The sequence below is a fragment of the Homo sapiens genome, chromosome 3 (genome assembly GCF_000001405.40).
Source record: "Homo sapiens chromosome 3, GRCh38.p14 Primary Assembly".
NCBI classification, from domain to species: Eukaryota; Metazoa; Chordata; class Mammalia; order Primates; family Hominidae; genus Homo; species Homo sapiens.
In genome coordinates, this window is record NC_000003.12 from 39232287 (window position 1) to 39259555 (window position 27269).

The window sequence follows — 27269 nt, forward strand, 5'->3', positions numbered from 1 at the left end:
GATGGTTTTTCTGAGCAGATAACCTTTGATCACAAACCTGTATGAAGCAAAAAGTAAACTAGGTAAATATGTGGGGGGCAATGTCAGTTGGAAATGGGTTTATCATGTTCCAGAAACAGAAAGAGGACCTCCTCTTCTGTGCAGCTCTGCTAGACCACTCTGCCCCTCCTCCAACCTAACCAGCCTTCCTGTGTGGACCATTTGGCTTACCTCTATTATTTACACTGGTGATTCTCTCTGTACTGCAATCAATTTCTTCCAGCTTTCTAATATCTCTCCCATTAAGCCTTCTGAGGAGAGGAACTACACCTGTTTTATCTTGGTAACTAGCACTTTGCACCATGCCTGACACAGAGGAGGTGTTTTAAAACTGTCTTTCAATGGATTACCACAGAAAAAAGTTGCTCACCTCTAGAAGATGCTAGAGCAGGTACAGTGGAAAGAGCATGGACTTGGAGGGCAGACAAAGGCATGGACTTCGTGTTGAACTGCAGGTTTGAGCCAAGGAATGGTGAGGTGTGTTTGGATGGGCTGCTTTCCTGCTTCTGGCAAAAGAACACGCACAGTATTGTTCATTTTTTATTTTGGATTTCCAGAGATAGAATGAAAACCATACAAAGTAGGAATTGTGCTCTTGGTTTAATTTCTCCTGATCCCACTTGTCAGACCTTCATGTCTGACAGGCATGCTGGTTGGCAGGCTGGTTGGTTCCCTATTTTAAGATGGTTTTGGAGGGGGAATAAAAGCCCTTTGCTTAAGCTCTAGCTTATCTAACGTTCAGCCAATCAGTAACAAAAGACTCAAGAAGCTGTTAGGTGTTTCTATTTCAGGGAGCTGGAGGCTTCCTCAGAGCCCCACGTGTGCAGTTAGTCTTAAAATCCAACCTATAGTTACCCCTTCCTCATTTTAATGCTAAAAATCATGCCCAGGGGTGGCGATTTAAAATGCTAATGCTACATATGATGTATAAAGAAGTGTGTTGAGCCACTGTGCAAGCACTAGAAAAACCTCTCCTATATGTGCCCTGATGTAACCCTTCCCTATAGAAAGACCCTATAATACTAACCCACATATTGCCCTTGGGGAGCAGCCTATTCCTTTTCCTTTCTTAGTGCCAGCTCCCTTGTGCACGAGCTAATATAATTTTCTCTTTGCTGCTATACCTGCTAGTCTCTTTTGATTTCTATCTTGGGAGATTACAAGAACCCAGGGCATGGGTGACATTACCATGTGGATGGTCTCTTGACTGGTGCAGATGGTACAGACCACCTCTCCTTTCTTCACTTGGCTACCTTCTCCTCATCTTCCAAGGTTTTGTTCTTTTAAATTCTCACCCTAAAGTACCCAGATTCCCTCTTTTTCTGGATCAGGACTATTTTTCTAAAAATTTCAAGCCTTCAGCCTCCTCTTCCATCTTTGGAAACTGGCACAGCCTTTGGCTAGTCTCATCATAGCTCCTTACCCTCTTGCTCTTTCTAGACCATTTGGGTAAGGGAGAGGCTTTAGTGAGGGTAAAGGAGGGCAGGAAGGTTTTCTTTTTTGGAATTCTACCCTTTTATCTTTAAAATTTGTACTCTTTCACTGTTTGGCTTGGTCTGCTGCTGCTACTACTCAACAGGATTCATATATTGTTGATAATCCTCCCAGCTAGCACTAGTGTAATTTTTAGACTTCATGCTAAAAGGCTTTCTGTCTCCTTTGCCCACCTTGATTTATCTTACACATCTCCTCTGTTAATTTCCCTTGGTGCTGCCATGTGCGGGAACTATGTCCCAATTCTGAGGTTCCCCCTAACCCCCCAGCTTAGAGAGGCTAAGGCTATTCCCTGTGACTCAGATGCCCCTTTTACTTTCCTATCCAACTTCTGCTCAGCCTTTGCAATTTACCTCTTGGGTCAGCTCCTCAAAACAGATATCCCTTCTTCTCCTGCACAAGGTCCTCCTCCCATTGAGGCCAGAGGTCTCCTCCCCTGGGCTGTGCTTACTCTGATGGAACACTTGCCACACTAGATCTAAGGGTCATTTTTCATGTTGGTTTTGCCAGTAATGGTGAACTCCCTAAAGGCAGTCTTTTACTATTAGGTTGGTGCAAAAGTAATTGCAGCTTTTGCCATTAAAAGTAATGGCAATTACTTTTGCACCAACCTAATAGCTCTTACTCCAGGCTTCAGTCTGTGTGGGATCCAAATAAACGATATGTAAAATAAATGCTTATTTTACCCCATCGCACTGGCCAGATGGAAGGGATATCAAGTTGAGGCAGAAAACTCTGGTCCATGATTTGGGGAAGGGGCGGAGCATTGTCTGCGAGGAGGGGGTCCTGAAGGGAGGAAGGTGGGACGCCTGTGTTCTCAGAGTATTCTCTCTATAGGCAAGAGTTGTAATTTATGGCAGGGGAGTGATGGGCAGGCAAGGACCACAGAACTCATGCTGGAGAAAGTGAGCAAAAACAAATGGAAAAACTGTCAACCTTTAGGGGGTACTGAGAGATAACTCAGTGATACTTCAGGGCAATGCCCTCTGTCTTGAAATGTCTAGGTTTGCATTTCTTTGAAAAGGAGCTGAGAAAGGGAGTGGTTCTATTTCCTGCTAACAGCAGCAGATCTGCTGAGACACCAGCAGCAAGTGGGTGTCTCCTTCAGCTTAGAGGTGAGAAGATCACACCCAGGGAGCTGCTGTTTGCCCCTCCCCTTCTGCATTAGGGTGGCGACCTGGATGAGGCGTCCTTGCTTCTGGGTGCAAAGACTCCTAGCTGGAAGTCTAGGAAAAATTACCTAGGAAAAAAGACTTCAATTATAACTGATAAATTAGAGAAAGTTGACGTTTAAGGATTAGCGTCATAGATGACTTCAGGGCATTAAAATTTGGAGCACTAAAAACATCACTTGCCCCAGGGAAGAAATTAAGAACGGGCAAGAAGAGAGAGCTGGGGTCATAGTGGACATCAAATGGTGATGAAATTAAAGCGCTTGCTATTAGCAATGTGGCTGTCAATAGGGAAAGTGGGGCAGGCCTTGGAATGATGAGGAAGTGGCTGAAATGGTCACAGATCCTGGGAGGAAAGATAAGGAACTGTTTACAGAAAATCCATAATCATCTTCAAGGGTTAAGAAGGAGTATAAGGCCAGGAGCGGTGGCTAATGCCTGTAATCCCAGCACTTTGGGAGGCTGAGGGGGCAGATTGCTTGAGCCCAGGAGTTCAAGACCAGCCTGGGCAACATAGTGAGACCTCATCTCTATTAATAATTTTTTTAAAAAAGAAAACACATTTTTAAAAAGGAAAGAGTATAAAGAGATTTTATATAATTGTTCCCCGTCTTTAGAGGGGAATCAACTTTTGTGTGTTTTCAACAAATGTGTGTTTTTGTATGTGTGTGTTTTCAGCAAACATGAAGGAGTTAAAAGAGTTACAGTTGACACATAATTAATTAAAATACACTTTGATGATGGCAAATTTTCCATACGATTTTTAGCGTTTCACTTGGAAAGGGTTCAAAAAATTGAGTGTCATTGCTATTAAAAGATAACCCAGCTGGGCACAGTTGCTCACACCTATAATCCCAGTACTTTGGCAGGCCAAGGCAGGAGAATTTCCTGCGCCTAAGAGTTTGAGACCAGCCTGGGCAACATAGGGAGACTGTGTCTCTTTAAAAAAAATGAAATTTTAAAAAATCAACTGAGTGTAGTGGCACACACCTATAGTCCCAGCTACTCGGGAAGCTGAAGCGGGAGAATTGCTTGAGCCTGGGAGGTTGAGGCTGCAGTGAGTTGTGATGGTGCCATTTGCACTCCAGTCTGGGTAACAGAGTGAGACCCTGTCACTAAAAAAAAAAAAAAAAAGAAAGAAAGAAAAAAGAAAGTCCTTCCATTACCATCTATTTATTATTATAGTTAAAAAGACAGAATTAGAATTGATGCCAAATTCTGTCTTATTCTGTTAATAAGTTATATTCACCTATGGAAACATGAACTAATTAGGAAAAACCACAAGTTTCATCTCAATGAGATGCATATTCATTGGAATTTTATTTTTTATGTTTACTATTTATCAAAATATGTTATTTTGATTCAACATTCACCAATAAATAATTGTAATAATATTCAATCTAGAAGAAACTTTAACACTTAGAGTCTTACTGTTATAGGAAATTTTTAAAACCCCATTTTAAATAAATAGATGGTTTTCTCAATTTGTTTCTTTATTGAAAAGAAAATACATATTCATAATAAAAAATTCCAAGACTACAAAAATAATCCAGGCTGAAAATTAATCCTCCTCCCATCCCTGTCCCCAGCCACCCTGTGCTCTTGCCAGGGGCACCCTCTGAAACCAGTTTCTTGGTTGTCTGGCCATAGATTCTATGTGTGAACATTTGAGGAGATAGTTGGCACTCAGTGTGTCACTTTTTAAATTTTTGCCTCCTTCATTCAGAAAAAGAACTTTTTATGGCTCCACCATGACTCTCTGAGGTTGCTGGGCACAGCCTGAGATTAAGTCCTGCAGTAAACAGAACACCTTCCTTCTGCAGGCACCAATTTGGTGGTTTCTGCCTTGGAGAATCTGGTGGAAATGTTGGGAAGCCCAGAGAGATCCTGCCGAGCGACACCCAGAAGTGTGAGGCCATAAGCCGCCTCCGCCATACTTCACATCATTACCCACTGGCTCTGTTCGGGGCTCTCCCAGCTCAGGAGTGTTGAGGGTTAAATTGTACTCCCCCCAAAAATATATTCAAGTCCTAGCCCCTGGTACCTGTGAATGTGACTTTAGACATAGAGTCTTTCCAGATACAATTAAGTTAAATGAGGTCACACTGGATTAGCATGGCCCTACATCTGATGACTGGTGTCCTTATAAAGACGCATGTGAAGACACAGAAACACAGGCACACAGGGAGGACACCATGTGACAACAGAGGCAGAGACTGGAGTGACGTGTCTGCCAGCAAAGAAAAGGCAAGGGTTGCCAACATCCACCAGACGCTAGGAGAGAGGTGCGGAACAGATCGTCTCTCCCTCAGAGCTCCAAGAAGGAACCAATCCTGCAGATATCTTGATTTCAGACTTCCCGCCTCCAGGACTGTGAGAGAATAAAGTTCTGTTGTGTTAAGCCTACAGTTTGTGGTACTGTGTCATGACAGCTGTAGGAAACCAATACAGGTGGTCTCAAAAGCCGCTCCAGTGCTCATCTCTGAGTACCTGAAGGAGGGTTCCTTCCTGCAGCAGGGGCTACCCTGCCCAGATTCCTGACCTCCATTTTAGCAGCTAGAGCTGCTGCCAAAGGCTCATACCAGGGACCTTCTCTGGAGGCTTGCTTTCTGGAGGATAGAGCACTGCCCCACTGGTGCCTGGGAGGTATGCCTCCTCTGCCCATAACCGATGACATTCTAGCCCTCTGGCCTAGAGAAAGACAGACTGGGTGCTGTCTATAGCCCAGAGCTCTCTGAGGCATCCAGCTGAGCCTTGACATCAGCTGGCCCCAGATCCTTGCTTAACTTCTTCCCCTGCCCCATCCTGCTTCCCTCCCTCCCTCCGGAGTTTCTCCTGAGAGCATCCCTGATCCCAAATCACCTGCACCTGAACCCTGTCTCAGCTTCTGCTTCTAAGGAGCCTGATAAGACATTTTCCAGGGCCCCACTCCTCTGTTCTTGGGTTTAGGGTTGTCCTGAAGTGCTGTGGTGTGGAATGTCCATGTGGTGAATTTAGACCAGGATTGAGTGGATCCCTGAGGGCGTCAATGTTGTTGGGTGATCTGTAAGGGGCAGACACTAATGAAGTCCTTGTGAAGGCTGGTGGAGGGAACAGCTGGCAGTCCCTGGTGTGGGTGATAGTAGGATCTTCCCCAGTGGAACCCTGAAAATCACAGAAGGTGACTGAGCACCAATAACATTCCTGTGGCCATTTGTCAGACTCACCCACCAGCTCATTCTGGAGGACAGCTTCTTGGCTCCTTCTCCAAGGCTCTGAAGTCTCTCCTTTCTCAATCTCCTTCTTCCTCTCTCTTGCCTGCCCCTCATATATTAATTCATTCAACAAATATTTATTGAGTATCAGCTTTGCATCAGGCACTATTCTGGATGCTGGGGACAGAGCAGTGGATAAAAAAGACCAAGTCTGTGGTCTCATGGAGCTCAGAGTCAGATGGGGAGACAGAAACACACACAGATGTGTCAGATCAGGTCCAACCCTGGGAAGTCTCCTTAGAGGCAACGAAAGCATTTCCTTTGCCTGCCTTTGTCAAGATGTTGCAAGTCCTTTCTCCTACAGATTTAAACTATAGTCTAATTATAATAATAGTATTTGTGAATATTATTATAGCAGCCAGCCTTCTAGGATATTTCTTTTCTGTCCTGTCCATGTTACCTGCTCATATGGGGAGAGAAGAAGGAGAAAATACAGGAAGAAAGAAGCATACATTAATAATTCAAAATATTAACCTATATTTTGCTTGTTAAATCATATCATTAGGTGTCAGCTCATAGATCCCATTAGAAAGGGGAGAGGTGAGGGAATATTTCTGGAACATTCTATCACTATCTTTAGGGTTTGGGGAAGGGTATAGGAAGACCTTGTGTGTGACTTTGGGCGAGTCCCTTAACCTCTCTGGGCCTTATTCTGGAAAAGGATGTGTGTCACGGGGGGTTGTTATACAGATTATTTCATCACCCAGGTATTAAGCCTAGTACCCATTAGTTATTTTTCTTGATTCTCTCCCTCTTCCCACCTTTCTCCCTCCTATAGGCCCCAGTGTGTGGGATTCTGATATTACTTTGAGGGTTTATTTATTTTCCTTGGTTTTCTAGGAATAGATTTCTCAACAAAGCAAGTGCTCACATAAGCTGCTGAAGTCTTAAATGGAGAGCAGAGATAGCTGGAGTCCTGTGGGTACTTTAAGGGAGTTTCAGGTATGTCCTCCAGTTCTCAGCTCTCTCGTAACTGCCCAGCTGCTAGGAGATTTTATGAGTCAAGGGATGAGGGCAGGTGGGGTGCGATGGGTTCCCAGAGTGGTTGGGGGTAGAGGAGCAGGAGATCTTAATGTATTTCTGATGGGGACAGTGAGCAGGTCCCTATGTTTTCTGCCTCTGAGTTTTCCAGAGAAGATCATCCTCATATCTTGTACTCAAGGAATAGGCAAATGTAGCAATTCTTGCTTCCCTGATTTTTGGCTGGATTGATCATCTATGTGTCAAGTTAATCATGGGAGAGCGGGTTTTATTTTCTCTCAAACATTGGGCAGGATTATGTGAAAATGTGTGGGTTTTCTTTAGCCCTCATAGTATTTTATTTCTTTACTTATTCATTTTTATTTAACTTTTATTTTAAGTTCAGAGGTACATGTGCAGGTTTGTCGTATAAGTCACGGGTACATGTGTCATGGGGGTTTGTTGTACGGATTATTTCATCACCCGGGCATTAAGCCTAGTATCCATTAGTTATTTTTCCTGATCCTCTCCTTCCTCCCACCCTTCACCCTCAGGTGGCCCCAGTGTGTGTTGTTCCCCTCTATGTATCCATGTGTTCTCATCATTTCGCTCCCACTTATAAGTGAGTACGTGTGGTATTTGGTTTTCTGTTCCTGCATTGGTTTGCTAGGGCTAATGGTCTCCAGCTCCACCCATGTTCCTGCAAAGGACATGCTCTCTTTATAGTTCATAGTATTTGATGGCATATATGCACCACATTTTCTTTATCCAGTCTACCTTCGATGGACATTTAGGTTGATTCCTTTGCTATTGTGAATAGTGCTACAATGAACATACGCATGCATGTGTCTTCATGGTAGAATGATTTATATTCCTTTGTGTATATACCCAGTAATGGGATTGCTGGGTCAAATGGTATTTCTATTTTTAGCTCTGAGGAATTGCCACATTGTTTTCCACAATGGTTGAACTAACTTACATTCTCACCAACAATGTATAAGCCTTCCTTTTTCTGTACAACCTCGCCAGCATCCATTATTTTTTGATTTTTAAATAATCACCATTCTGACTGGTGTGAGATGGTATCTCATTGTGGTTTTGATTTGCATTTCTCTAATGATCAGTGATATTGAGGTTTTTTTCATATGTTTGTGGGCCACATGTATATCTTCTTTTGAAAAGTGTCTGTTCATAGGGCAGGGCGCGGTGGCTCACGCCTGTAATCCCAGCACTTTGGGAGGCTGAGGCGGGCAGATTAGAAGGTCAGGAGATCGAGACCATCATGGCTAACACGGTGAAACCCCGTCTCTACTAAAAATATAAAAAAATTAGCCGGGCACAGTGGCGGGCGCCTGTAGTCCCAGCTACTTGGGAGGCTGAGGCAGGAGAATGGCGTGAACCCAGGAGGCAGAGCTTGCAGTGAGCTGAGATCACGCCACTGCACTCCAGCCTGGGTGACAGACCGAGACTCCGTCTCAGAAAAAAAAAAGAAAAAGAAAAGTGTCTGTTCATGTCCTTTGCCCACTTTTTAACGGGGTTGTTTGTTTTCTTCTTGTAAATTTGTTTTTTACTTATAGATGCTGGATATTAGACTAGCCCTCAGAGTATTTTAAATAACACTTTGAATTGGTTGCCAGTTAATATCAGGAGATTTCACTTTTAACATTCCTATTTTCAGATGTTAAGAGATTCAGAGACACAGGTGCTGAGACTCCCAAAGGCAGTGTCCCAGAGATGTGTTGCTGCTGCCGTCTTATAATTCAAGACTACAACATCAACTCTTCCTTGGATCTTCAGCCTGCCAGCCTCTCTGCAGATTTTGAACTTGCCATTTCCCATAATCTCATGAGCCAACTCCTTAAAGTCTCTCTGTCTCTCTCTTACACACAGACACAACACCACTACGACCACCACCACCACCACCACCACCACCAGTAGGTATATGTCCTATTGGTTCTTTGGAGAACTCTGACTAATGCAGGTTCTAAGCTAAAGCATGTTTTTGCATAACATAATTTACCTCATTTAATGCTCACAACATTCCTTCAGAAGTAGGTGTTGTTGGCTCTGCTGTGCATTTGCTTTTGAGAATGCTAAAGGGACAGAGAGAGATATTAAGAGATTTTTCTAAAGTGGGAAAAACAGATACCTAAAGGCAGGTGTATCTGGATGGAGAGTCAGCACATTGAGTCAGAAGATGAAATAAGACCAAGGTGTGAATAGGAAGAGTGGGCTTCTTCAACTCTTTCGGGTCCTTCTGTTCTCTGTCTGGCTATTTTTCTTGATCCCTCTTCAAGTGACAGTCACCAGAGACCTTCAGGGAGCCAAGCTGAATTAGGTATGAGAATGTGTCAGGCAGGCAAAGCCTCTCTAGTGGGTGGAGGTGTGTGCAATTTAGACAAAGTTACTTCCAGTAAGAGATGTTTAGGGAAGTCCTAGTCTCTAAAATAACTATCTCAGGGTGAGATTCTGTTCCATGTTCTTCATTGCCCAATACTTTAGGTTGCAAGTGATAAAAACTTGCAACAAACAAAAAAGCATCCTTCATCAAATTGAAGTAAGTAAAAAAGGGACTTTACTGGCTTACATAATGAACAGGCCAAAGCCTGGGTGTGTTGGGATCCAGGTCCTTGAGCTAGGTCACTGGGATTGCTTTCACCATCTTTCACCATCTTTTGGTTCTGCTTTTGTCTCTAATGGTAGCAAGATATTTATGAGATTATATTTTTATCTCACCAGTTGAGGAACTCCAGGAGAGAGGGCGAGAGAGAGAGAGAGAGAGAGACTGCTTCCCAACAGCTCCCACAAATGTCCTGAAATTGAAATTGACTCTCTTTGGGCCATCTCAGTACATGTGCTTACCCATGACCAATCTCTGTGGTCAGAAGTGTGAAATATGATAAGCTTCCCACTGGGGTCCACTCAAGCTCTGGACAGCTTAGAGCATATCAAAGTCCCTGATTTTAACATAAAAGAATTCATAAAGGAAGCAATTAGCAGATTTGTCTAACTGAAAATTAAGAGCATTTGAATATCAACATCCATCATAAATAACACGAAAGAGAAAACAGAAAACTGGACAAAAATATTTGTCACCAGTAGTTTTATAATAGTCTTTATATAAAAATGGCACACACCTTGGTTTAAAAAATATTGACTCTATGACTTAGAAAAATGTTCATGCATGCGTATGTTCATTGCAGCACTATTCACAATAGCAAAGTCATGAAGTCTACCTAAATGCCCACCAATGATAGACTGGATAAAGAAAATGTGGTATCTAGACAACATGGAATACTATGCAACCATAAAAATGAATGAGATCGTGCCCTGTGCAGGGACATGGATGGAGCTGGAGGCCATTATCCTCAGCAAACTAACACAGGAACAAAAAACCAAATACCATGTGTTCTCACTTATAAGTGGGAGCTAAATGATGAGAACACATGGATACATAGAGGGGAACAATACACACTGAGGCCTATTGGAGGATGGAGGGTGGGAGGAGGAAAAGGAACAGGAAAAATAACTAATGGATACTAGGCTTAATACCTAGGTGATAAAAAAATTTGTACAACAAATCCCCATGGCACACATTTACCTATGTGACAAGCCTGCAATGTACCCCATAACTTAAAATAAAAGTTTAAAGAAAGAGAAAAATGAACAATTGGCAGCACCACTTATATATCCCACAGGTACTTCAAAATCAGCTTGCAAAGTAGACCCCCTTATTTATATCAGGTAGAATTCTCTCAGAAGTAAGTAACAGAAAATCTGACTCATACCAGCTCTAATCATAAAAACCAGAGGTATATTGGCCTCAGATATAGTTTGATCAGAATTCTAGTTCAATTTCTCTGAAATTTCCTCTTTCTTCCTTTCTCCCCACATTCAACCTCCTCCTGAGGCTGACTGCTCTCATGGAGATGAAAAGGCTGCAGCAACTTCAGATTTCATGGACTCAACACCACACTGTCCAGAATGTGTGTCCCAAAATTCCAATCAAAACACTGATTGGGTTATCCTTGAAGCCACACATAGACAGAAAAATGCCATAGGCTGATTGGCTTAGACCTCGTTCTTTAACTACTCTCTTTGTAAAGAGAAATTATTCTAAGTCCGTCAGAATCTACCCTAGGAGCTGGGAGGGGTCAAACCTGCCAAACTTCATGGCTACTGTAAGATGAGATGGGGGAAGAATCATTGCTGGGGAAATAGTCGCAGAGTCCATGATATCACTGTTGTTTCCAAAAATGCCTCTCCTTGCATGTTCCCCATCTTTCAGCATTGCAGCCAGAAATTTTTCTAAATCTTGCATAATTCTTGCTTAATATCTTTTTAAATTTAACTTTTAAGTTCAGGGGTACATGTGCAGGTTTGTTACATAGGTAAACTTGTGTCATGCGGGTTTGCTGTACAGGTTATTTCATCACCCAAGTATTAAGCCTAGTACCCATTAGTTATTTTTCCTGATCCTCTCCCTCCTCCCACCCTCCATCCTCTGACAGGCCCCAGCATGTATTGTTACCCTCTATGTGTCCATGTGTTCTCATCATTTAGTTCTCATTTATAAGTGAAAACATGCTTAATCTCTTTTAATGGTCCCACTCTACATGCACGATGAAGTCCAAATACTTCACTATGACTTACAAAGTCCTCCAAGAACTGGCTGTTAAGATCCAAGACTTTTCTTTCGAGTCTGTCTAGGCTCATCCCTTTTGTCCTGACCTTTCCCACCTCCTATCATCCAGGCACACTAATGTTCTTTTCTTCTTTCTTTTCTCTTTCTTCCAGAACTTTATACATACTGTTTCTTTTGCTGGGAACCCTCTTCTGCTACATCTTCACCTACGCTAGTTTCTCCTTAATTCTTAATTCCTGGGTTAAGTGTGTCTTCCCCTGGAAAGACTATCCTGACCTCTCTCTACTCTAAGGCTAGGTGAAGGGTCTCTGTATTCTCATGTGTCCTCTCTCTCTGCCCCCTACCTTGTCAGCTCTGTTATGACAGAAATGAGTTTATTTTGTTCAATGCTGTTTCTCTGGTGTCTTCCCCTACTCCATCACACACACAGTGTGTCCAGTAAATATATGTTGAATAAATAAGTGAAATAACAGAGGAAGTATAATCATTGAGAAACCTATGTAGAATATTTATCTCTGGGAAGTGAAATAAAGCTAATTTTCAAATAGCTTTCCATAAAGTTCCAAATTTTCTTCAACAAGCCTTTATTATTTATATAACAAACACAGTGCAGAAGAAGGCAAGTTCTCCCTAATGTCAACTGGAGATTTGATTCCCAGTAACCTCCCCCATTGATCCTGGCTCTAACCCTGGGTGTTTGTGCCTTTTGGCCTGTCTTAAATTCTGTCTTCCCCATTTTCTAATTCTCTATTTAGCTGCATTTATTCTACTGCTAAGTCTGTCTTTTGAGTTTTTAGTTCTATCACAATTTTTATTTCTAGGAGTTACATTTGTTTTTTCCTGAAGCTGTTTCCCTTTAACTAATATTTTCAAGCTTCTCTGTTACTTATTGGAACATATTAAATATTGTATTATCTTCTATTTCTTTTATTTCCAATATCTGAATTTATTTAGGACTAATTCTGTCAGTTTTTTTCCCTGCTAGCCTTTACTTATGGTGCCTTTTCTCCTTGTATGTTTTATTTATTTATTTTTAACTTTCAATACCTTGGACATTTGTGGATATTCTTTCAGAATTGGGATAGGGGAGTTTCCTCCAGAGATTTGGATTTACCTTTTTCTGGTACTAGGGTTACTATCTGTTCCAGGACCACCTTAAGTTATTAGGTGAGCTTTTCTGACCACTGGGAAAGAGTGAATTGAGGCTTCAAATTCATGTGAGGGAATGGCTCATGGTTACAATTGCCAGGGGAGATATTTCCTGCTTCTGTTCAGGACAAAGGATCAAGACCTTCACTTCCCTGGGTTGGGATGTAGGCAGTTCATTGTTATCCGTAGCAAACTAACGCAGGAACAGAAAACCAAATACCACATGTTCTCACTTATAACTAGGAGCTAAACATTGAGCACACATGGACACAAAGAAGGGAACAACAGACAGTGGGGCCTACTTGAGGGTGGCGGGTGGGAGAAGGGTGAGTTCGTTGTTTAGTTCATTGTTACGCTATGGAGGCAGTTCATTGTTAGTGCATTGTTACACTATGGATGCAGTCCTTTGGGGTTCCAGCTTTGGAGCATTATCCTCTTTGACTCTCTGCCTTGAGTAAGCCATGAGCTTTTTCTGTCTCTTTAGCTCCTTGAAGTAGAAAAAGTCATACTCAATTTCACAAAGTTTTATAAATGCTGTTAATGTTAAAGCTGGCTTCAGAGCTCTACTTACACACGTTAAATTAGTTCCTGCTGGAACATTCCTCTTTTCCCATATTAAATGTGCTTTCAAGAAGTTGGGTTTTATATTTTTATATATTTATTTACTTATTTACTTATTTGAGACAGAGTCTCACTCTGTTGCCCAGGATGGAGTGCAGTGGCGTGATCTCAGCTCACTGCAACCTCCGCTTCCTGGGTTCAAGCGATTCTCCTGCCTCAGCCTCCTGAGTAGCTGGGATTACAGTTGCACGCCCCCACACCTGGCTAATTTTTTATATTTTTGATAGAGATGGGGTTTCACCATGTTGGCCAGGCTGGTCTCGAATTCCTGACCTCAAGTGATCCACCCATCTCAGCCTCCCAAAATCCTGGGATTACAGGCGTGAGCCACCATGCCCAGCCAAGAGTTCGGTATTTTATTCAGCATTTTAAATTGTTTTTACCATGAGAGAAGTGAGCTACAAACACAGAATGGGGTATTTCCATTGTATTGTTGGATTAAAATCAGTATCAATATGGACTCATAATTTAAAAAAAAAGATAAGCGTGTGTGTATCCTAACTCTATCCATAGAAAGAGATTAGAAATAATGACATCCAGTAACAAGTAGGATGCTTATTCCAGATGTTAGTGTTCTTTTTTGCTTCCAACTTTCTTTTAGGTTCAGAGGATACATGTGCTGCATTTGTTACATGGGTAAATTGTATGTCACTGGGGTTTGGTGTACAAATGATTTCATCACCCAGGTAGTGAGCATAGTACGTTTTTCGATCTTCACCCTCCTCCCACCCTCGGCCCTCAAGTAAGCCCCAGTGTCTGTTGTTCCCCTTTTTGTGTCCATCTGTGCTCAATGTTTAGCTCCCACTTATAAGCAAGAACATGCAGTATTTGGTTTTTCTGTTTCTGCGTTGGTTTGCTAAGGATAATGGCCTCCAGCCATTATCAGTTGGGATGGCCCATTAAAGTTGTTCCAAGTTGGGGTGAGGGACTCAGGTCTTTTTATTTCCCATCCACTCCCCCATATTGTCTAGAATGATGCCTGGGCATCATTGGAGAAGGCAGTTCCTTCCTATGGAGGATAATTCCTGGGGACAGCCTTGGCTGAGAGCCCTCAGCAGATGACACTCTGAGCAGCTGGGGAGTGAGTGCCCTGGTCTGAAGGAGAATCGGGAAAGCAATCACAGCATCCACTACAAAGCCAGATAATAAATAATAAATATAGAAGGAATGATATAATTAGAAAAACACAATTTTTCCAATTCCAATCTAATAATGGATCCAAGCAAGGACCACCAATGATGCTAAGATCATTAGGTGAAAGGTTTCATGGGAACAAAGTATTCATATGGTCTCAAAATTTGTCCTCAATTTTATTTATTTATTATTTATTTTAATAAGGTATAGTTGACAAATAATTGTATATATTTATGGTTTGCAATGTGATGTTTTGGTATGTACATATACATTGTGAAATAGTTAAGGCAAGTGAATTAACATATTCATCATTTCACATACTTATTATCTGGCTGTGAGAACATTTAAGATCTACTCTTTTAGCAATTTTCAAGTATATAATACATTATTATCAAGTATAGTTAGTATGCTGTACAATCTCCTCACTGTTCAATTACTTTAGTTACTTTTTAATTACAAAGGGGAAAAGTGCCTTTACAGTGGAGAGATCTGACAGATACCATCTTAACCAAGAGATGAAACTTAACCTTACCAATAATGTGACAAATTAACTTCATATACCTCCTGATATATGCTCCATGTTGCATTTTTGCCTAATATTTTAACCTGATCTAATACTGAGAAAACAATCAGACAAACCTAATACATATATGGGATATTCTACAAGATAGTGTGGCCTGGATTTATCAAAAATATAAATGTCTTAAAGAGAAAAAAGACACAGACCTACCTAACTCTTCATAGACAAAGTTTGCCTCACTTCTGCCTTAAAGATGACTAAAGAGACATGACGATCAATTGTCAATGCAATGTTGAATCTTGATTGGATCCTAGATTTTTTAAAAAGCTATAGGGGAAAATTTGGGTATCATTGGATTGTACATTAAGTGATATTACTGAATCAATGTTACATTTCTTGGGTGTGATAATAATATTGTGGTTATGTGGCAGGAGTCATTATCCTTAGGACACATATGCTAATGTAATTAGGAGTAATATATCTGTCACTTACTCTCTGATAGTTTAGTCAAAGAAAAATCTCTTTCTGTCTCTTTTTCTTACTCTTTCTTTCTCCTCTCACACAGAGAGATCAAACACAGGTGGCAGAATGGTAAAGTTGCAGAATCCAGATAAAGGTTATATGGTGTTTGTTGTAGTGCTCATTTAACTTCTTAGCTTTACCATTTTTAAAATAAAAAGTTGGGGAAAACGGTAAAAGAAACTTTCTTAATTTTAATTCTTAATCTAGTTAAATATTCCAGCAGTCAGTTTTCAGCCTCTTTAAAGTGGTTTGTTTAATTTTTTCCAAATGTGAAAGTCGATCTTTCTATTCCCATAGATAGAACAATAGTTCTTGTTCGAGAGGGAGAGAGCTGGGTGCTTTCAGCCTATGTGAGGCGTCGGCAACACCAAGCAGGCTGAAAGGGAAGGCTGCCATGATGTAAAAACACTCAGTAATACCCAGTGAAGATGAATTCTCTACCTTTCAGTTCCTAATTTTTAGTTTTGAATCTCAAGGAACGGACATTTCCAAATTAAAAACAGCTTCGTGGGCCGGGCGCAGTGGCTCACGCCTGTAATCCTAGCACTTTTGGAGGCCAAGACGGGCGGATCACGAGGTCAGGAGACCCAGACCATCCTGGCTAATACGGTGAAACCCTGTCTCTACTAAAAATACAAAAAAATTAGCCGGGCGTGGTGGTGGGCACCTGTAGTCCCAGCTACTCGGGAGGCTGAGGCAGGAGAATGGCGTGAACCCTGGAGGCGGAGCTTGCAGTGAGCCGAGATCGCGCCACTGCACTCCAGCCTGGGCCACAGAGTGAGACTCCCTCTCAAAAAAAAAAAAAAGAAAGAAAAGAAAGACAAAAACAAAAAACAAAAAACAGCTTCATGGAAAGAGTGTGGCTGGGTAGTAATGTGGTACTATGTTCAAATCCCAGCCTGGGCCACTTTCTACTGCTAGGACATACGTAACAATGATCACCCTCACCACTACCACAAACAGTGTGCGTGGAATTTGTGCCATGTGCCAGGTCCAGGTCTAAGAAGTTCTCAAATACTAATTCATTTAATTCTTACACTGTGAAGTTAGCCGTTATTATCACTCTCATTCTACAGAGGAAGAAACTGAGACCAAAAAGTGTGAAGAGCTTGCCCAATGTCTCACAGCTGGTGGGTGGAATGACTGGGATTTAAACCAGGCAGTGTCCTTGGGAGCTCCCACCTGTCACCACTGCACCATAGGCTCTTTCAGATGGACGTGGGCTGACTTTCCAGAACTGGAATCTTGTAACTTGGGCCTACTATTAAATTTCTGTCTGGATTCATCAGGCACCCAACTTAGCCATCATGGCCATGCCATCAGATGTGGCTTTTAAGGATAAGAGTTATGGTAAAGGCAACTGGCTGGTGGTTGGGTTTTGAGAAGAGGCCAGTCCATGGACATATTGATCTTTAATGCCCTCAAGCAAAGCATGTACATAGTTTACCAAGAGTGGTTACCCTTATGATTGGACCATTGCAGATGTGGTATCTGTAAGGGCAACTTTTGAAGGAATCAATCCCAGTCCACAAAATGAGAGATGCTTTATAAGGGATGAAATAAAGTTTCATTGAATTTAGTTCTGGGTGGCAGGTAGGTCTGCTAGCAAGTTCCGAAAGACCAGCCGTTTTCTTTGAGTTATATGCGCCTGAAACTCCTCCTCGTAAACATCTGAGGCTCACTCACACCTCAGTGATGAACTGCCACCCTCCTCCACTGAGAGCAGGAAGAGAGCACCCAGAGTGGATACCATGACAGCTCAGCCAAACAGGCTCTCTGCCAGGAGGGCTGAGGCAGGAACCCGTCACATAGACACTCTCCAGGAATGAACTCAGGAAAGATCATGCACTTGACTTGGTCAACCTGAAGTCATACCCTAAAACCTCTTTGTTAGCCTCTTGCAGGTAACAGCCACCACAATGGTGTGACCCGAATGATGCTGTGACTAATTTCTCAGACTTTCAGGACTGCCCTGTGGCTGGGTACCTATCACCAAAAGCCATAAAGGGCTGCAGACAACATTGCTAAGATTACTTTAGCACAATGCCTGTATTCAGCAGACACACACAGATGGTAGTTCCTTTCTTTGAGTCAGTTTGTGCTGGGATGCTGACATTTCCCCAGACGATGCCACCCTTTTGGGTGTGCATAATTTCCTAGACTGTCTCATCCTGGGCCATGTTCCTTGAATTAGAAATAGAAGGGAGGGGGTCAGGTCATCCTTCAGGGTGCACAGCTCCTCTCGTGTCCCATCAAGGGTAGCAGTGTCCCTGCTGGAATAGCCCCTCTTAGTCCTCTCCTCTTAGAGCCTCGGAAACTTAATTTCAGAATAAGACATGGCTTCTTCTATTCATTTTTAGAAAGGTGCTATTTGGATTTTGCACATAGCTGTGAAAGTAAAAACAGGATTTATAATGCTGGAGATTGAGGAAGAGTTTTGCAACTCAAACCTCAAAGGAGAAGTATTGGCTTCCTCAGCTTCCCCCTGACAAGGGAGATTAATGTCATTCCACTATGCTAGTGACTAGCCAGCAGAGGGAATTAAAATAGATCTTTGTTGTGCCGGGCAGGAGGAACAAATGTTGGAAGCTCCTAGAGCTGCTCTCTTCTCAGCTCTCTTCTCTGCTCTCTTCTCTCTTTAGGAGCTGACAGGTGAAGGCTGGATGCTGATTAGCAAGGGCTTCCTAGCCTCCTGTGGGAAGTAAGCCAGGGTGGAAGCTCAGGCACAGGTCCTCTAAGTAGGGGGGATGGCTGTGGTTCTGAGGGAGACTCCTGCTTGGCCCACACTTCCTGAAGGTTCAGTGTGGGGAAGCAGAGGCATATGGAGGCATCAGCCTCGGGCCTTCCCTCACTCACATTTAGGGCTGCACACGGTGCCCCACCCCACCCATCACCCACCCCCCCTGCCCAATGCCATTTCTCCCCTCCGCCTACCCCTCTGTGGCCTTTCCCCTTCCTGGAAGGGGACTGTGGCTGGAGGGCAGATCTGAGAGGAGACCTAAAAAGAAAGAAAATAGGAAGAAAACGAGGGGGAAAATAATAAAAACAGGAGGCTTATTGAAGGAGGGAGGAGCAGGGGAGAGTGGGAGCATGGGGAGCAGACAGTTTGTTCCAGCAGGCTGGATGTTGGGAGGAATATGATGGGGGCTCAAAATAAATAAGACTAGCTCTATTCTCAACACTTCTATCAGAATTAGGCAAATCCTTAAATTCTGTGACAGCCCAATGGCAGATGTGAGAAGGTGCCCTCAGAGCTCCTCAGAGCTCCGACTGTCAGAAGAACTTGACCGTTGTGCCCTGAAGTTGCTTCCCATCGAGGGACTCAGCATGGCAGTTCCAATCCTGGGAGACATCACCTGAGCTCCATGACATCCCAGTGGCCTTGCCAAAACTTTCCTTCCATCTCTTCCACACAGGGAACAGACCTGTGTTGTGGTCTGGAGGCTTCTCAGCCTCTCACAGCCTCCCTTTTTCCCTCACAGGTGTTCTCCCTAACACATCTCTCATACGTCCAATTCCTTCCCATCTTAGCACCTGCTTCTTGGAGGAGCCAAAACAGCAGAAACCCCAACACTGGGCACCATTGCTATGTTTATTTTACAGATGGGAAAATCAGGGCACAGAGACATTAAATGAATTGCCTCAAGTTTTGTAGTCAGTACATATATGGTGGAGCTAGGAGTTGAAACCACCTGCTTAAGTCTCATGCTACTCTTATTACCATTTTTCACATGGAGAAGCTGAGACAAGTTCAGAAATAAATGCACTGTCCCTTGGCTATTGTGGCTCAAATGCCCCAGGATACTAACGGGGCCCAATGAACACCAAGCCTCCGTCATCTTGAGTCTCCAGTCTCCCCTGAGTAAGGACAGCATCTCTCTATACCTTTCTGGAGTGAGAGGGCAGCTCACAGGTGTTCAGGGCCAAGTCCATGCCCTCCAATGGCATCCTACACATCTGCCAGGCATCGGGCGTCTCCTGCCTGCTATCACATCTCTTCCTGGCTCCCAGCAGGACTGTCTATGGTACACTCCAGTGACTGCAGACTTCCTGAGACTCCAAAACCACCATAGCCTTGCTGGCTTTCACGCAGTTCCAGGGAGTTCTCAGAGGTTCTGGGGCAGGTTTGGGGCCAGATACCTCCTGCTTCTTTTTCTCCACACTTTTCACATCACTGGTCCCAGATACCTTTGCACAGAAGTGGCTTCCTTAGCTACATGCCAGTTACCCCCAAGAAGACTACATTCTGCTAACCAGGGGACAGCTGCCTGGATTTAGGAGGGCTCAGATGAAACACTCTGCACAGCTGGGAAGTGCTGGACCGAGATTGAAGCCTGGGTCTGCCTCCATGTATAACAGCCCTGCTCTTCTGCTCCTCTGCTATAAGCAGAGGAGGAAAAACCTGGAAGAGAGGGAAATCATAGGAGTTAGGACACAAAGTCATGAATGGAGGTGGGGACAGTGATGCTCTTTGACGAGGAGAGATAAGGAGACTGGAGAGAGGGGGCATCTCTGCAGATGTCAGGCTCCCCTCATGAATGGTCCTGAGGGTGGCCATGGGCCAGGAGGGCATTTGACTTGTCTGGCTGTGTGAGGGTTGTTTGGGGAAGGTTCTCTCTGAGACTTGGGGGCTTTGCCCACATGTCAGCAGGACCTTTCCAAGTCCCCAGGATCACTGCTCTTTCAAGCAGTCACCAACCTTCTTAGCTTGGTCTCACCCACCCAGTGACTTGTGGCTTCTCCCAATAGCTTACTGAGTTCTCATGGGGCTTCCTTCTTATTCTTAATACTTCCACATCGTTAAGCCCAACTGCCATACCCTCCATGAAACTTGGCCCTTCTCTTGGTCCTAGGAAGGTGTGTGCATGTGCGTGTGCATGTATGTGTGTGTGTGTGCGCACACACAGACCTACGGGCTCTTCCAGCCAGCCCCATGGACTGCTGGCCAGCCCCCAGCACAGGAGGACTGATGGGCCACAATGGCGATGGAGGGGTGAAGGCCTCCAGCCAGTGCTGACAGTCTTTTAAGGAGGTGACAAGACAGAAAGGAGCTCCAGCAAAGGTGATCCCATTTCCTCTCATGCTGTGGCCTTGGACCTGGAAGGCCTGGGGAGGAGTGGCTGGGAGGATGCATGGTGAGAAGCTGGGGCAGGAGACTCAGGTGTGCAGGCGGTCACCAGGCAGTGCTGGGGAGACCGGCCTTGGTGCTGGCAGTGGAGCTAGTGGCGATAGTAGCGTGCAGAGTGAGGGCAGGGAGAGGCTATTGACAGAGGGTCTGGTTGAAGGACAACAGGGAGGGGGTGACTCTGAGGGTTGACTGTGTGAAGTGGAGGATGAAGAGGACTTGGGGGCTACTTTTGCCTGCTGCTTCCTGTGCCTCTGTGATTACTTCTTTCTCCCCCCGCCCCCAGTTAGCATAGCGCATCTGTGGGATTCTTCCAGTCTTGCCTGGTCTCTAAGGCTCCAACCACAGCACCTGCATTATCTAATTCTTCCACCTGAAACCTTCCTCTTTGACCTCCAGAGGCTCTGCCATGCCCTGTGGCACACTGGCCCTCTCTTTTATCGCTTCTTTCCAAATTCATCCACATCTATCTGACACCTAGTCTTTACCATGCCCTGTGAAGCAGGACAAGTCACAAAGAATTTTAACTTATTTTTTTCTGGTTCTACCTTTTAAAGATCTAAATTTCTTAGGCAATGCTAAAGAGGAGGCTTTCCCCTTTCCTCTCCTTCTAGACGATAAACAGATTTCCTGGGCAGGAGGAGGCAGGGGGTGGGCAGGGCAGCTACGAATGTATAGACTCAGGTGTCACAGAGAGCGAGGCCCTTCTCTGCCTCTTGGGCAAAGCCCTGCAGTTGCTGCAGCACCCATGATCATCTGTAGGATCCAGCGGCAACAGGCCTGTGCTCTGCTCCCTGGGCAGAGTCCTGGGAAGGAGCAGACCCCAGAGAGAGAAGAGGTCTAGGCAGATGGCCATAACCAGCGTTTTGGAGAGGCCCACGATGTGGTGTGGCATGGGTGCAGCAGAGTGACTCCGGCCTGCAGCGTGGCATGGGAAAGTGGGCACAGTAGTTGGACCTGAGGGCCAAGCCAGACAGGAAGAGGGGCCAGACCACCTATGTGGCTCGATGGCTGTGGTATAGGTGGGAAGGTGGATGTCTGGTGAACACCTGCGTGGCAGCAGGGGATTCAGGGAAGGGTAGTTACCAGCTTATTGCAGGGAGCTGCAAGGAGCAGAAAACCCAATAGAAGGTGGTATGAACAAGTGGGAGGCTTTGTGACTCTTGTGCTAGGAAGTCCTGCATGGGCAGCCCAAAGTGGTTGCAGCACCATGACACTGTCTCCTGGCACCCAGGCACTTGAGGCGTGTTTTCTTTACCATTTGCTATGGTTTGAATGCGTCTACTCCAAAATCCAGGTGTTGTCAATGTGATGGTATTAAGAGGCGGGGGTCTTTAAGAGGTAATTATGCCATGAGGGCTCCTCCTTTGTAAATGGGATTAAGTCTCTTATGAGGCTTCATGCAGCGTTTGGCTAGCTTGGTGGCTTGTCTTTCTGTCATCTGCCATGTGAGGACATGGTAAGAAGGCCCTCATCAGACCAAATGCTCATGCCTTGTCTTGGAATTCTCAGCCTCCAGAACTGTGAGAAATAAATTTTTGTTCTTTTTATTTATTTTTTTATTTTATTATTATTAGTATTATTATTATTTTGAGACAGAGTCTCGCTCTGTCGCCCAGGCTGGAGTGCAGTGGCACAATCTCGGCTCACTGCAAGCTTCGCCTCCCGGGTTCATGCCATTCTCCTGCCTCAACCTCCCAAGTAGCTGGGACTACAGGTGCCCACCACCACGCCCGGCTAATTTTTTGTATTTTTAGTAGAGACGGGGTTTCACTGTGTTAGCCAGGATGGTCTCGATCTCCTGACCTTGTGATCCGCCTGCCTCAGCCTCCCAAAGTGTTGGGATTATAGGCATGAGCCACAGCGCCCTGCCAAATTTTTGTTCTTTTTAAATATCCCACTCTATGGTATTCTGTTATAGCAGCACAAATGGTCTAAGAAACTATTCTTTTATTAGGAAAAAAATAGCAAATTGTGGTTTTAGATTTAAGAGATAAATTTAATTCATGCAAATGATTCATCCTATAAAGATGAGTCATAAATACCAAAGAAGTGCATCCTTTTTTAGACATGTTTAAATATAGTCCACAAATACCAGTGCACTGCTAACTATAGCTACTCCTACAACTTCAAGTTATCTCCTACTCAGCCAAATGTCAAAATTTTACCAGTGAAAACTTAATCACTATTTTTCTTGCTGCATTAATTTCACCCCAACAAGCCTTTAGTACTTTAGTAATATTTTGTGCCATCTGAATAGCAGCAGCTGAATTTACCCAGCACATGCCACTAAAGCCAGAAGCCATGTATTTTGAAGGGCCCACTCAGGTTCATCACAGAGCAGAATGACACCTCTTGCCTCCTCAACTCTGCATCCTTCATATTCTGCTTCTGTGCAAAACTGTGTTGACGAAAAAGTACATATAACTTTAGGTCCTGCTTCAGCCCCAAGATAGGTTTAAATCTGCGTATGCTGCTTAGGCATTCCTGGGGATACCTGTGTGCATGAGGCCTCAGGCTACAAATCTTCATCTCATTCTTCTCCTGAAGAGGGAAGAGAAGTGAGGAGTCCATGGGAAGGTTTCTAGACACTAGAGTTAAGGCCACCATGCTGTTTCATGCACAAAAGATGGGAGACAAAGGCTGGAGGAGCATGAGCTCACCTCAAGGTGAAAGACAGGCCAGGGACATTGGGTTGCAGGCTATAGAAGGGTTACACATGGGGCAAGGAAAGCTTCCTGTAAAATCACCAACAGCAAAGCTGACATTGTGGTGTATCAGGAAAGAATGCAAATGAGCTGGTCCACTCGACTGTGGTAGAGGGAGCAGTAGGGCCTCGGGGAGGGCCCCTTAACTTTGGGGAAGCTAGCTGTGTCCTTTGGGGCAACAAACAGAAGAAAAGGGAAGTGAGCCTATTCAAATCCTCTGCTGTGGGCAATACACTGTGCTAGATGCTTTCACTGCAATCTCTCATTTTCTCCTCAACCCTGAATATAGACATTGCCACCCCGTTTTTCTGAGTAATAAGGCCTGAGGCAGTTAAGTAATTTCCAAAGACCAACACTCTCAGAGCGTGGATGTCTAACCTTCAAGTTCAGGCTCATCAGCTTCAGAGACAGGGTCTGAGGAGGGGCCAGGACAGAACCTTGTAGGCAAGAACGTGGCAAAATGGCCTCAGGGCCCTGTTGGTCTCACTGAAGATGGTACAGTTGGGGAGTCTGGACTCCACAGATGGCACCTGTAATACTTGGAGGAAGAGAGTAGTCTGGGGCAGGTGTTCCCTCAGCCTGGGAGTGGCCAAAAGTGACCAGGCTAAAGGTTGATAACCTGGGCTCCTTACTTCTCTCAAGGTTGCTCTGACACTGTATTTAGGATTTACACATGGTTTTTTCAATTCTTTTTTGCCAGTAAATATACAGGAGATTTCAAAGATACTCTCAACTCTTAATTGCTGCAATTACACCATCCCTAGACTGAGCATTAAAAAAAAATGCTTCCTGGTATAAGGTTTTGGTACTGTCTTAGCAGTTCATGCCACCACAGGTAAAATACCTGGATGCCCTTACGAAGTAGCCAAATGGAGTGTGATCAGTACTCCAAGGAGTTGGCATGGGCATCAATTGCGTATTATTTTCTCCAGCCTATATCTATCTGCCTGTACTTGGAGTACTGATGAATTAATGCAGTGTTGGCTCTGCTGCCTCTGATCAGTTTACATTAACGACCATGATAAATATGTTGTAAATAAAAGTCATTTTCTTGACTTTCAGGTTTAAATGGCATCTGGCTAACAGCCCCTGGGCAGCCCTTTCCAATATTTTATTAAAATGCTAATTAATACATAGGAAAAGATGAAAATGCTCAATAATGCCGCAGACTAAGACTGAAACCACGTTGTGAGAATAGGGGAGGAAACTGCATTCTACAGGCTAGAGCTTTTTTTTTTTTTTGAGATGGAGTCTCGCTCTGTCACCCAGGTTGGAGTACAGTGGCGCAATCTTGGCTCTGCAACCTCCGCCTCCCGGGTTCACGCCATTCTGCTGCCTCAGCCTCCCGAGTAGCTGGGACTACAGGTGCCTGCCACCATGCCCGGCTGATTTTTTGTATTTTTAGTAGAGACAGGGTTTCACCGTGTTAGCCGGGATGGTCTCAATCTCCTGACCTCGTGATCCACCTGGCTCGGCCTCCCAAAGTGCTGAGATTACAGGCTTGAGCCACTGCGCCCGGCCTGTAGAGCTATTTTAAAAAAGAAACCACTGTAGGTTTTGCCCTACATGGAGTGCCAGGGAAAGTGGATCATCTAGGATGACTCCGAGGTTTTGACCAGAGCAACTGGAAGAATAAAGTTGTCATTTACTGAGACAGCACAGACTGTAGGGGAGTGGGTTTTGCGATGAGTGCCAGGAGATGCTGATTCTATATCCAAGGGAAGTTGTTAGGGAATTGAATACACACATCTGGACTTCAGAGAAGTCTGGGCTGGAGAAAAGGTTTAGACCTTGTCAGTGTAGAGAGATGGCTTTGCGACTGGCTGAGAAAGGACAGAAGAGAAGGGAGGGGAGAAGAAGAGGGAAGCTGGAAGGAAAGAGGAGCAGATAAGTCTGGAGACTGAGCCTGAAGCCCTTGATGCACAGAGGTTAGGGAGGCAAGAAGGAACCAGAGAAGGAGACTGCAGAGGAGCATCCAGTGAAGTTGTTGGAGAACCGAGAGAGTGGCATCTCCAAAGCTGAATGGAAAAGCTGCTTCAAGAAACTTTGCCTAATTCTGCTAATGGGTCAAGTAAGGGGAGGCCTGATTATGGACCATGGGATTTAGCAACACAGAGAACGCTGGTGACTTTGACAAGAGTGTGTCTGGGGGAGGGTTGAGAAGAAAATTCAAGAATGAGCTCACCTCAAGGGGAAAGACAGGCCAGGGACATTGGGTTGCGGGCTATAGAAGGGTTACACATGGGGCAAGCTCATAGGGAGCTGTCTGGAGAGAACTCTTTTGAGTGCCTCTGCATGGACAGGAGCTGGGGGAGATGTGGTATCAAGGGGAGGCTCCTAAAAATGAGAAGTATTCTGGCCTGCTTGCATACCAATTATCCAGCAGAGGGGAGAGACAGATAATGCAGGAGAGGGGATAAATGCAGGAGGGGAAGGTTAAAGGGGCTGGGATGCATCGTTCAGGTGGCAGGTTTGGCTTTAGATAAGCGCAGGGACGATTCTTCCATGATACGAGGAGGGACTGCAGAGTGCACTGGCACAGCTGCAGGAAGATGGGAAGATGTGGTTGGGGTAGGCCATGGAAGTTCTTTTCTGGTTCTATTTCCTCAGTGAAATAATGCGCTTTCAAAGGGAAACTCATATAGTAGTGCTGGAAGTGTAAATGAGCCTTTTGATATTAGGTTTCCCAGTCTGGCAGCTGGGCATCCTCCTCCCCAAAGCAAGAGTACCGGGATATGCCAAGGGGTTCTTAAAGCTGGAACTCATGGATTTCCCTGGCTGATTGGAGCATCACTGCTGCCAGCAAAGCCCAAGGTATAAAGTATGCATAAAGTCACTATGGTTTGAACTTTTAATAAATTTTACTTCCATGTAACGTATAGATAATTTGTGAAATGCAACCGAGAGATAATTTACAAAATATTTAAATAAAGTTGCTAATGTTTGATTTTGTTCTTTCTTTTATTTTACAGGTGTGAGCTCTACATTATGCTGAGATGGCTATGTACAAGTATATCCAGAATGACGGTGGATACGTTGAAAGTCCAATCAACTGTGCTAAATCTTGAATCAGTTCTCTCTGTTGCCTTTTGCAGGTTGTTTAAGTTTTGTATAGAAGTGGATATTTTGAACATTGAAACTGCACAAGGGCTTTATGGTTGCTCTGCTCACCTCTATTTCTTCTTCTCCTGCTAGGAAACCCCATTATCCTCAGAACAAGTCTCTCCACCTCCTGCTCTTGCCTGATGCTGTATGGCTCTGATGGCTTGTCCTGTGTCCCCTTAGCCCAGGTGCTAAGTGGTCTCTGTTCCCTTAAAATAACTGTTTTGGGATGTTATGGGTCCTGTTTTAAAAATCCCCTCATCCCTCTTCTTTTCTCTCTTCTAAAGGGCAGCCTTACCATCTCCTTTTAAGAACAGAAGTCTTTTCTTTCTGCCTCTTAAAGTCAGTAGCTGGTTTGTCACCCAATAACAAAAGCCCACAATATCCTGACCTCAAAGACTAGGAAGGTAGGTGGTGCTAAGGTCAGGGATTGGGAGTCTTAGAGAGCCAGCAACACAGTGTCATCTCTCTGAAAAGTAAATTTCCAGTAGCTAGCAAGAGATTTACAAATGCTGAAATCTCTTAGTCTACTAATTCCTTTCATACAATCAAAGATATGTGCAAAGATTTATGTTCATCATACTGTCACTCCTCATAGAGAAAAGCATGGGAGTAACACCCATGTCTGTCAGTAGGGCTTGGATGGATAAAGTCTATTATTGAGTCCTTTGCAATCATTCAAAATCATGTTTGAATATAATAGATGGGAAAATGATCATACTATAATGCTAATTGAAAAAAGATATAAAACTGTATATATGTTCTCATCTCAAATTTTTAAAAAATAAAAATGTGCTTATTTTATATATATAAACATATATATA

General features: G+C 44.0%; 1 long non-coding RNA gene across 1 annotated transcript, besides 2 other annotated features; it reads left to right on the top strand.

Annotated features, from left to right (window-relative positions):
• The first annotated feature begins 214 nt into the window (after positions 1–214).
• On the top strand, positions 215–27177 carry LOC102724104 (uncharacterized). Its single transcript, XR_940742.4, has 3 exons — positions 215–516; positions 6800–6901; positions 26316–27177. It is a non-coding gene; the product is annotated as an uncharacterized LOC102724104 (long non-coding RNA).
• Positions 23664–23903: an enhancer, noted in NCBI's record as "active region_19695". NCBI's record gives its function as "activates an Ori minimal core promoter by ATAC-STARR-seq in GM12878 lymphoblastoid cells {active_cell/tissue: GM12878}" and the evidence as "EXISTENCE:reporter gene assay evidence [ECO:0000049][PMID:35858748]".
• Positions 24685–24734: a silencer, noted in NCBI's record as "silent region_14224". NCBI's record gives its function as "represses an Ori minimal core promoter by ATAC-STARR-seq in GM12878 lymphoblastoid cells {active_cell/tissue: GM12878}" and the evidence as "EXISTENCE:reporter gene assay evidence [ECO:0000049][PMID:35858748]".
• Positions 27178–27269: the final 92 nt, after the last annotated feature.